At 48.0% G+C, this 11952-nt stretch overlaps 1 long non-coding RNA gene and 1 pseudogene across 1 annotated transcript; one reads left to right on the forward strand and one right to left on the reverse strand.

Annotated features, from left to right (window-relative positions):
* Positions 1–480: 480 nt before the first annotated feature.
* Positions 481–6083, reverse strand: FAM197Y9 (family with sequence similarity 197 Y-linked member 9). Its single transcript, NR_145462.1, has 4 exons — positions 5982–6083; positions 5750–5895; positions 4092–4250; positions 481–540 (listed from the first exon to the last, which is right to left on the reverse strand). It is a non-coding gene; the product is annotated as a family with sequence similarity 197 Y-linked member 9 (long non-coding RNA).
* On the forward strand, positions 8695–11423 carry TSPY11P (testis specific protein Y-linked 11, pseudogene; annotated as a pseudogene).

An 11952-nucleotide genomic window follows, 5' to 3' on the forward strand; every position in this document is an offset into this window, starting at 1 on the left:
GGAGACCAGCATGGGCAACATGGCAAAAAGCTGTCTCTACCAAAAATACAAAAATTAGCCAGACCTAGTGGCACTTTCCTGTGGTCCCAGCTACTTGGGAGGCTGAGGTAGGAGAACCACCTGAACATGGGTGGCAGAGATTGTATAGTAAGCCAAGATCAGACTACTGCACTCCAGCCTGGATGACACAGCGAGACCATGACTGAAAAAAGAAAAAAAAAAATAAAGGCAACTCCACTCGTCCACTGGCTTAGGTAAAAAATACTGGAGTTGGCTGGGCTCGGTGGCTCACACCTGTATTCCCAGCACTCTGGATTTTGGGAAGCTGAGTCGGGCGGGTCACCTGAGATCTGTAGTAGGAGAGCAGCCTGGCCAACATGGTGAAGCCTGGCTTCTACTAAAAATACAAAACATTAGCTGAGCGTGGTGATGCATGCTTGTAATCCCAGCTACTGCAGAGGCTGAACCTGGGAGGCGGAGGATGTGTTGAGCTGAGATCCTGCCACTGCGCTCCAGCCTGGTCTACAGAGCGAGAGTACCCTGTGAGAAAGAAAGGTGAAGAGAACAAGAAAAAAAAAATGAGAAAAATAAGACCCACTGCAAAAGGTTGCCACAGAAAAGATTAAACATTTCAGCAACTTCTATCTTCTATCATGGAAGCCAAGGTTATTTGGACCAAACCTCCTGTCTTAGTTCATTTTCACGCTGCTGAAGAAGACATACCTGAAACTGGGAATAAAAGGAGGTTTAATTGGACTGACAGTTCCACATGGCTGTGGAGGCCTCAGAATCATGGTATACGAATAAAGGCACTTCTTACATGGCAATGCCAAGAGAGAATGAGGAAGAACCTGAGGCAGAAACCCCTGAAAAACCCATCAGATCCCGTGAGACTTCTTCACTGTCACAAGAATAGCATGAGAAAGACCGACCCCCATGATTCAATTACCTCCCCCTGGGTCCCACCCGCAACACGAGGGAATTCTGGGAGATACAATTGAAGCTGAGATTTGAATGGAGACACACCAAACCATGTCACTTCCCAAACAATTAAAAATTCCCAATAGAAGAAGCATTAATTATATCAAAAAGTGGTGGACCAAGAAGGAACTATTAGCCTCATATCTCAAGAAAGACTCCAGTCAAGGCCTAGGGACTACTCATGAAAAGAGTTTAATAGCCGACTCTCTCCCAGTGGATCTGGATTCCACCGGACTGTATCTTCACAGTAAGGGTGAAACAGAAGCAAACCCATTCCTATTTCCAAGCTCAAGGAACTTTGGTCAAAGTTCTCTTGGAGCTGAGCAGAACAAGGAGGCAAACAGAAAAGATTTGTGTCCCTGAGAAGTCATGGCCACAGGCTGGCTATCACACAGATTGTCAAGCCAGTTCCATATTGCATGGGTATTACAGAAAATCTCAAAACATAAATTTGTGTGTGGGTTGTCCCAGAGCAGCAGGATCTGGCAGAAGGAAATTTCCTTCTAACCCTCAAAGAATCCACATAAATCTTGTTACATTTGGGATTTTACGATTTGCTTCAGGAATGAGAATGGCCTTAATTTTCATATCTTTTTCTACACTCAGTTTATGTCTTGTTGGCGTCAAAGTTCTGCTTGCTTCACACAATGAGTTTAGGATTTTCCCTTTTTTATTCTATAGAATTCTTCATATATATTGAAATGCTCTGCCTGGGGAAAAAAATCTGAGCCTAGCGTTTTATCTCTAGGAAGAATCCTTTATTTCCTTGAACATTTATGAGACTATACAGATTATATATGTCTTCTTGTATCAATTTTACTAAGCTATATACATAGCTTATGTTTATATATTATATATATAAATGTAAGATACAAATATAAAAATTATGTATAAATATGAAAATATATATAGAAAGCGATATATATGTCTATATATATAGACAGATTATAAATATCTGTCTATTTGATCTAAGTTTTCAAATTTGTAGGTTAAGGTGTTAATGATATTTCCTTATTAGCTTCTTAATCTATGCTGTATCTATGGTTGTGTACCTTTTAAATTCTTAGTTTTATCTATGTTTTCTCCCTTTTTTTCTAAACTTGACTGACGGTTGCATCATTTATTATATTTCTCCAACAAGCAAAGGTTAGCTTTGTATGTTTTACTAATTTTGTCTACATCATTATTCCCACACTTTAGTTTTTCAGAATTGATTCTGTTGTTTCTTTTCTAATTCTTTATTGAAATATCTAGTACATTAATTTTCAAGTTATTAGAGAAATATTTGTCTGTAAACTCCTATTGTAATATCACTTTTCTTGCTACTCACAGATTTAATCTTTAATATTGGCGGTATCATTGAGTTCTAAGTACATTTCAATTCCTAGTATGATAATCTATGAATTGCTGAGAAATAGTGTTTACAATTTTGTTGTTCTATTTCCACTTAAGTTTATTTTTACTTCTGCTAACTCAATTGAAAATTCTTTACTAATTTTTAAAATCCTTGAACCCAAGAGATGGAGGTTGCAATGAGCTGAGATCAGGCCACTGCATTCCAGACTGAGTGACAGAGTGGAACGAGATTTCAAAACAAAACAAAACAAAACAAAACAAAACAGTCACTGGAAAGATAATAAAATACATAAATGTGGGATGTAATATGTAATCGTGATAAAATAAACTGGATTTTTTGTATAAGTTATACATATAAATGTAATGCCAAGACACTGATAAGACAACTCATGGTCTTATCTCAATACTTAGTGTCTTCATGTAACATATGTCCTTTAGGATAGTTATAGTCCGTTTTCTTTCCAGGAGAGACAGATGAGAATGCAGAAATGTTAAAGTGCAAGGGACAGAAGCTTCCAGCTGTGCCCACCTGTAACCTGACGTAGACAGTTCCACTGTTTGCTTCATTAATCATGCCAAAGGCTCTAATGCAAATGTGGTACAGAGTCACATGTTTTTGTATCTACATGATAGAAACTATAACTTCATCCCTATATAGAAGGGTATATAGCATATGCCTCAGTGATAAATATAAGTGAATCATTGATCAGTAGGAAACCATTTTAAAAGTCTTTCATAACAGAACAAAATCCCTGAAAACATTTTCTTCTCAATCTCTGAGTTTTCTTACACGGCTTATGAATCTCTAGCCATACTAAAGAGATAGTATGCTGCTCTTCCAACAAATTATTCATTGTATATAATTCCTGTAATCTAATAACAGTACCTTTACACCTCAGGGTTTAAAATGACTCCAACCTTTTTCTGTTTCTCCAATTAAAATAACTTTTTAAGGTTTAATCTTCAGTAATTTTTTGTAGTAATATTTTTGAAGGTATTTGACCAGGATGATTTGCTTATATACCTACCTGACGTCTCCCTTTCTTCTGAATACATATTTTATTACCCACCTATTAGATCTAAGTTTAAGAAGTTGGAATAGGGATTTAAATCTAAATTCTACATTTGAATTTACAGGCGTCAGTGAGTCCAGGAAGTGCCTTTATGCACAGACCAATATCTGGCAATGGCACTAGGGGACAAATAAGCTTTACCAGTCTCAAAGCCCTGGCTACTACAGTGAATCCACCCTTCTCCTGGATCTTATCTACTTCAGCAAAAGAAGGCCACCCACTAAACCAGGCCCTTGTACTTTGGGTGGAAACTCCTAAGTCCTCTAGTCTCCTCAAACAGACAGCCAGGCTGCCAATTTCCACAATAATAATTTCTATAGCACTGAGTCTTTGGTAGCCTTGTAACTATAGCTACTGATGCTACAGTCTGGTCCCTGTATGATAAAACACCAGAGCAACAGAAACAAAAATATTGACTGAAGCCTTCTAAAATCTCTCTAAATATACCTTCAATAAATATGGTTTTTTTTTTACAGAACGACTGCTTTCAGCTTCCTGAACTAACGCTTGGCCTTCGCTAGTTGTCACTGTTGAAATTGATTCAAAAGTGTACATTTAACATGAAAGTCAATACAGAATTTCATGTGTCAGCAACTAAAATTTTCAAAATGATGCAAAATACAAATGTGAAACTGTATTTGTGAAATTTACCATTCATTGAAATTATATTTTCATACCTACCCAGGCACAGAATTTTTTATAACTGTCTGCAGGTTCTCCTCATGTGGGGGAAAAACAGCATCAGCAGGCAGAGGAATCCTTTGAAGCTGGAGGGAGAGGTTGCAGTGATCTGAGAGTTTGCCACTTGACTGCAGCCTGGATGACACAGTGAGACTCCAACTGAAAAGAAACAAACACACACACACACACACACACACACACACACACACCCAAAATTGATAAGTAAAAAAAAAATCCGTATTCGAAAACATGCTCACAGGCTAACTCCCATATCTAACACACACACACACACACACACACACACACGCACACACACAAAATTCCTTGAAAACGAAAGTTCCACAAGGGCGAAACAAGAAAACAAATTTAACACCCCCCAAAGAAAGTACAAAGAGTAACCTCAAAAGAACCGCAGGGGAAAACAATTCAAAATTTACAACTATCTACCCTAAAAGAAGCTGAAAGTCCCTCAAAAACTTTCCAGAGGCCATGTCCTTGTATTACAAAAATGATCATAAAAACTGGCAGGAGTAGACGAATAGAAATGCATCTTAAAACTTGCTAAACCCTTCAAGTCTCCCATAAGAATTGTAATGGAAAATGGATCAGTCGGCAGCTTTTTCCATACAATTATGAACAAATTATATTTCTTCATACATAGATTTGTTTTTTCAATATTCTAAGGAATTAACTTTTATACTAATAGTAGGTGATGTAAGAAAGCAGGCCTTTATCAAGATAACTGACACTGGATGTCCATACCATTACTCAGGTGGGCCTTAATTCCCAGCCAGGTTCCCTCCCTGGACACACACTGAAGGTCCCCAGCCATTTGGCAATCTCTTCACATTCCCAGCCCTGAAGGTAGCCCTAAAATACATGTACCTGAAGAAAATAAAACATTGCCTCACACTGGAGCCCAGTGTGGTCCTCCAGATTCCGTGTGAGGTGGACTAACTTATATGGGAAGGCAGGGCAGCGGGAGTGAGGATGGCAGAGAGGATTACACATGTCAAGGCAGCCGGGGTCATGGAAACAAAACATGAATGGCCTGGGAGAAACACTGTGAAAGGACACAGACCTAGGTGGGCCTCAGGTGGACATCCTCGTGGAGAAAAAGGGGGCCCTGGTTGATCTCAAAATGAGCCCCAGGTGGTAGCAGGTCTTACCGCAGGCAGGGAGCTGGCGAGTAATGATGAGACAGCTATCCCTTAAGCCCTGCTTGTCACCCACTGACTTTAGCCACATATGCATCATAGTGGCTTAAGGTGCCCCGATCCTGAAATGTGGGTGTTACATGTCCCTGATGGGCCTCTCTCCCCCAACCCACGGATTGCCTGGGATTGCTCACTGCAGTCTCCTCCCGGATCCTTGGGTTCTCCATGTGGGGCCCAGATCCAGGTCAAAAGGCCTCTCAGTTCCCAGCCCTTCCCAGCCCTAGGCTGCTCGCCTGGCCTCCTCTCTGTTCCGCCTCTAGGGCTGACCCTCTCTCCATGGGATAGAACTGCAATGGATTGAGCCATAGGCCCTGGCTGATGATCTAGGGGACTGCAGAAGTGGGTCCAGGACAGTTCAGGTGACAGTTTAAAGCCAATTCCCCAGAGACCAAGGAATGACCAGCTAGGTCCTTTCCCATGATGCCCCACGGCGAACCCCACCTCAGCAATCCTGCCAAAACCCGGGCAGTCATGTTCAGCCAAACAGCTGAATGAGCTCAGGTAGGAGGTGTACTGCCTGCAGCTGGAGGCTTGACCTTCGTGATCCCAGAACCGCTGGACTGCAGTGGAATGAGACACCCTGTAGCCTGCAGGGAGAGGAGTCAGGAAGGTTCATGCCAGTCCCACCCTCCCACACACCAGCTCCCCTACCATGCTGGCAGGCATTCCTTACCGAGGATGCCAACACAGTGCTCCTTCATGATGATTTCACTGTGGAAATAAAGGTTGGGATGAAAGGAAATCATCCTGCCACCGGTAACCGGGATGGCTGAGTTCCTCCACCTGCCAGATCAAGGAGAAAGAGGATGGATTCAATGGGACCATCTCAGCTAGCTGGGCTGAGGTGGCCTACTAGCTGTAGTGAACCATGAGTTTCCCCTTCCCAGCTCTCCCACTGAGACAACCCTGGTCCCCAGGGGGACCTCAAACTGACTCAGACACTGGACTCCTCCCACAGACCCAGGCTCCCCAGCCTGACCTGCAAATCCATCACGTAGCAAAGCAGGACTTCCGCATGCTTTCCGACCCACGCCGACATCTCGTGTGCCAAACAATCTACCTCTGCGCAAGAACTCTCCAGAGGATTGGGTGGGCAAGCCTCGTGACGCCTTGCAATTTCGCAAGAACACAGACAATGTGGAACAGGGCCATCTCCCAGACATTTGGCCAGTCACCCTTCATTGTTGGCCCTCTATCTCTGTCTGGCGAGGAGGCAACGCCACAACTGTGGTGGTTTTTGGAGTGGGTGGACACCGGCCAAGACGGCCTGGGCTGACCATAGACGGGACGCAGAAAAAGTGGGCAGGTGGTTGCAGCTGAGGGACGGGAGGGGCCGGGGGTGGTGTGAGGCGGCTGCTTCTCTGGGTTTCTGAGATGCAGGAGGCCTTTGTGTGCTGGGTGCTGGACATGCTCCGCTGATGTCCGGGTGTGTGGTGTCCTCTTATCCTAGTCTCCCTGAGGGGTGGGCCTGTCCACCTGAGGGAAGCCTTGTAGTTAGAAGCCACAGCAGGGTCGTGCCTGGCGCTCTCCAAGGGAATTGCGTGGGTCCAGAGGAAGTTATACAGGCTCAGGGCCTACACGCCTTTGAGTGCAGCGCCTGCAGTTGGATGAATGCGCATCTGCGGAGCTGGTGCCCGCCGTCAGGTGGTCGGCAGCCCCATGCGCCGCGAACCCGTCTTAAGCACCTTGTGTTTCTGGGGTGAGCCTGCTGGAAACAGGCACCGAGAGCAGGGGTGGTTCAATGGCTGGTAATGGCATACAGATTCCCCGTCCTCCAGGGACGTTCCCAGGGAAACGTGTCCTTCGAATTTGGGCTGTGCGCAAAGGGACCTTGGCGCTGCGATTCTCCCTTGTCAGTGCTGGCCCTGGCTCCCCTTCCCTACCACGTGCTCCCAGGGCTGCTACAAGCGAGCTGCCCTCACAGCTGCGGGAACGTGGCCTCGGCTCCCACGCTGTCCCCCATCCCCTGCCTCCTGGCTGACCCCACGCGCCTCCCACCTGGCTCCTCCCCCCAAACAGCCCCCATACCCCCCGAGGCCCGATGACTATCCCCTGCTGCCCGCCATCCCAAATCGGCAGCCGCAAGGATATGGCTCTGGCTCACAAGGCGGAGATGCTCTGTGGCCTGGGGCATTCACGGAGCCCAGCTCCAAGTGAAGGACCTCCAGCGAGTCCATTGACGGCCCCGGTGTGCTCGGTCCAGGGCCAGGCTGTGCCCGCTGGCCCTCCTTCTGCCACCCCACGTCGGGCTCCACCTCAACCACCACCTCCACCTCAGCCATGATGTCTTCCACCTTCAGCACCGCCTCCTCTTCCAAGGCCGCCTCCTTGCTCTGTACCCCGGCCGTCCTCTCCAGCATTGCCTCCAGCCTGAACACGGTTTTCTCCTGGGTGCTCCCACAGACCCTGGGCCTGCGCAGCCCAGCCCAGCCCAGCCCATGCCCCGCACCCGTAGGCTCTGGGGGCCCGCTCCCCAGCAGACCCGCTCCCTGCAAGACCCACGGGCGTCGCCCTGCTGAGAACCTGGTCCCACACCTACGTGGACCCAGGTTTCCTGAGGACCTCCGCTGGACCCGCAGATCCCGCACTGGCCAAAGGGCTCCGGTCCCCAGCAGGCTCAACTGCGCACAGGAGCTCGGGAGCCAGAGCCCCGGCCCTGGGCTTGCAGAGCCCCACCAACAGGCACCGCAACCGCTGCTGCGGGTGCGGGAGCCTCTGGGTCGTCAAGGCAGCGCACAACAGCGTGCGCGCAGGCCGACAATGGCCAACCCTGGCGGCTGGCCTCTGGTGTGCCCAGGGCATAGGACAAGAGGCCCTTTGGAATGCTCCTTGGAGTACAGCATCCTCAGGGAGGAAGCATGGTACTCGGAGCCTCTATTTGCCTCGACCTGTGAGAGTGTGTGCCGGGGCTCTGGCCTCTACAGCAGATCAATTCCACCTCAGCACCGGCAGGCGACTTTCCTCCCACGTGCCCGCCCCGATCACTTCCCCCAGGACACCCCTGCCGCCCTAGCCCCAGCAACCAGAGAGAGTTCTCTGCATCTGCTGTATTACCTCCGTACCATCTACCTGGCCTGCCTAACGAAGAGAGATGTTTCCTGTGTTCATGACACATAGAGATGTTCATGGCTTGCCACACTGAGGATGTCAGGGCACAGGGCTGCCATGCCCACAATTCCAAAGGCCACGCAGCCCGTGTGTGCCCGGACGCCTAGCTACCCGGCACAAGCTCCAAGGGCTTCTCAGAGGAGGCTTGGGCAGGGAAGGCGGGGGGTGGGGGGGCTGGAGATGCAGGCCCGCCAGTGGCTGTGCCGCCCAGGGAGACGCCCACCGCCCTCCCATTGATTGGCCACGACGGGAGGAAGTCGGCCTGGGTGCGGCCCCCCGGCTCTTCGCGCGCAGTCCCTTAGGGGGCGCCTGGAAGCCTGGCGCATGCGCCCTGAGGGCTCGCTGACCTACCGGGTGCCAGAGAGGCTGCGGCAGGGTTTCTGTGGCGTGGGTCGGGCAGCACAGGCCTTGGTGTGTGCGAGTGCCGAGGAGGGCACCGCCTTCAGGATGGAGGCTGTACAGGAGGGGGCGGCCGGGGTGGAGAGTGAGCAGGCGGCTTTGGGGGAGGAGGCGGTGCTGCTGTTGGATGACATAATGGCAGAGGTGGAGGTGGTGGCCCAGGAGGAGGCCCTCGTGGAGGGGCAGGAGGAGGCCCAGAAGCCACAGCCTGGCCCTGGGCCCATAACCCCAGAGTCCGCCCTGGAGGAGCTGGTGGCCGTTCAGGTGGAGCTGGAGCCGGTTAATGCCCAAGCCAGGAAGGCCTTTTCTCGCCAGAGGGAAAAGATGGAATGGAGGCACAAGCCCCACCTAGGCCGCAGAGGCGCCGTCATCCAGAGCGTCCCTGGCTTCTGGGCCAATGTTGTATCCTTCTCAGTGTTTTTTCTGCCTTTCCAGTTGAGAGGTGCTCTTGGGGAAGTGTAAGTAACTGATGGGCAGCTCATCGTCGATATGACTCTTTGGAGAACAAAGGTGAGTTACCACAGACAAATGAGGCTGTAGAAAGCCGGAGCAGGCGTGGGTACTGTTTTCCTGCATGCGGCAGAGAAACCCTTGGTGATGCCGAGCAGCAGACGTTTGGGGCATCATTTGAAGAGCAGAAGTGAGTTCAGACCAGAATACGTTTTTCTGTGAATGAAGGTATTGTTAAGGGAGTGTGATTACTCCCCCTTGCTAGTCAGATCTGGGACTGGGCGTCTTCGCCTATAAGCTGATTCTGCCACTCCGCAGACACCAGCAACTCTCTGCAAATCGCACCTCCCCATGTCAGTGCAGTCAGCCTCAGAATTAGACACTCTCTGCAAGCCCAAAAGACCTTAATTTAGGGGGAGGGGGAGGCAAAAGGAGGTCATACATGGAAGCAGTTCTGAGAAATCCCCTACCCCAGACTCTGGGCGCTCTTAGGCCTTCTTCCCTGTTGCTCCTAGCTTCTCCTTCCATCACATGTAAAGCCTCTTTGACCTAAATCAGATTGCAAACCACCCCCAGATGTCAGCCCTGATCACTGACCAAGATGAAGACATGCTGAGCTACATGGTCAGCCTGGAGGTGAGGCTGGGAAGACTGAGGCTAGAGGGTTTAGTAGGGGAGGGTAAAGGAAATAATTCATTCCTGTAAGCAACAGTGGGCACCTCACCCGAAAAGGTATTTAAGCTTTCTCCACCTTGTCCTGACAGATGAAAGAAGTGAAGCATCCCATTCATCTCTGCAAGATCATGTTGTTCTTTTGGAGTAACCCCTACTTCAGAATAAAGTGATTACCAAGGAATATCTCGTGAACATCACAGGTGAGAGGTGGCACCCCAGATGGGTAGTGGAAGGAAGATGATGTGTGGGTCATTGCCAACATGATCCAGGCCCCTTCCCACAAAACCCTCTCTTTGTAGAATACAGGGCTTATTCCACTCCAATTCAGCAGTATCAGGATTATGATGTTGAGCCCTATCGCTGGGGACACCACAACAGCAGCCTTAACTTCTTCAACTGGTTTGCTGACCGCAACTTCACAGGATCTAACAGGATTGCTGAGGCGAGTCCTCACTGGGAAACATTAGGAATGACCCTGGTGTGTTCCCAGCTGCTTGGGTCACCAGTCTGAGCCCTGATGAGGCCTTTCCCAATTGATTCCCCTGATAGAGCTTATGTACGGAACTGTGGCACAAACCCCTGCAATACTACATGAAGATGAAGCCACCTGAAGAGGGAACAGAGATTTCAGATGAGCCGTTAAGTTGGAACTGGAGCTATTTGGTGCCCAGGGTAAGGGGGTTGACATACCTGCCTGTTCAGGGAGCCTGGATGCTCATTTCAGAAATGTAGAAATTGAGGCTCCTTTCATACATGTAGAAATTCCTTGAGAGAAAGACAGAGAGTGACAGAATCCAGGACATTAACGGCATTGGGCTGAAAAAGGCACATTAGATACCACACTGCAAAGCAGGTTATAGCTGTGGAGTCTTAAGCCCGGGGAAGCATAGTCTATGTCCAGACTCACTGAGAAGTAAAGTTGAATCATTCACTTCAATTTGTGGCACTTGATTCCATGGCCATCAACCCCACCAGCAGCCATCCTACCAACTCCTTAAGATGGGGCTCCCTGAATGTGCCTCCTTGTTGTCCTTGCCACAAACCACAGAAGACTGTTTAGGTCATTGCATTTTGTTAAGCTATTGCCCCATCAGATTTCTGTGTGCTTTTAGTATACAATGAATCTTGTTAGCTGACTCCTGTCACAGTGAATACTGGGAATGGGGAAAATATTGCAGGGAACAGTTTGTAGCACCTGGTAGGAGGAAGTTTAAGAGATCACAAATGGGGAAGGGGTAGTCTTTTCTCAGCAGGCCCTAAAATTAAAACATTTTGAAGTATGGCTCAGAGGAAATACATTTTGACACGTGTTTGTGTTTCTCTAGGGGACTCCCAGATGGTGAGTGGAATATGATGGAGCATCACACTTTACCTAATACAGCAGAACTCCTACATAGTTACTATAGTATGCAGGACGTCAGTACTCAACATGGTCTTATGCCCAAGAACTAAAGGAAAAACAGATCCAGTCACAGAAAATCAGACAGGTTTAAACTACCAACCGTGTGTCTGTATTTGCGTATATTTATTTCTCTGTATGGGTTTGTCTCTATTCTCTGACTCCACCTATGTCACTCTCTGTCTGATATGTTTCCACACTGCCCATGGTAATTTGTACACGCCTATCTCTACAACCATGCTCGACTTTGTATCTCTGTCTTTGAACATCTATCACTCTCTCTCCCTTTCTTCATTGCTTTCCTTCCTTCACACCCTTCCTTTCTTCCTTCCCTTCCTTCCCCACCACTGTCTCTCCATCTGTATCATCTGTCTTCCTATTCTCGATCTGAATTTAGTTTGTAATTCTCAATCTGTTGGCAGTGGCATCAGATTATCGTTTTCATGTCTGGATGAAATTCCTCTTATAAAGAATATCCGCTGAAGGAGATGAGTTCTTTTTGTGAGCCATAATGAACTGTTTATTTTAGGCTGATCTAGCAATGACAGAGTTAAAAAAAAAAAAGAAAAAACAAAAAACAAAAAACTAGACATTACAGCAAAGGCAAAGGTCA

This window comes from Homo sapiens, chromosome Y (assembly GCF_000001405.40).
Source record: "Homo sapiens chromosome Y, GRCh38.p14 Primary Assembly".
NCBI lineage: Eukaryota > Metazoa > Chordata > Mammalia > Primates > Hominidae > Homo > Homo sapiens.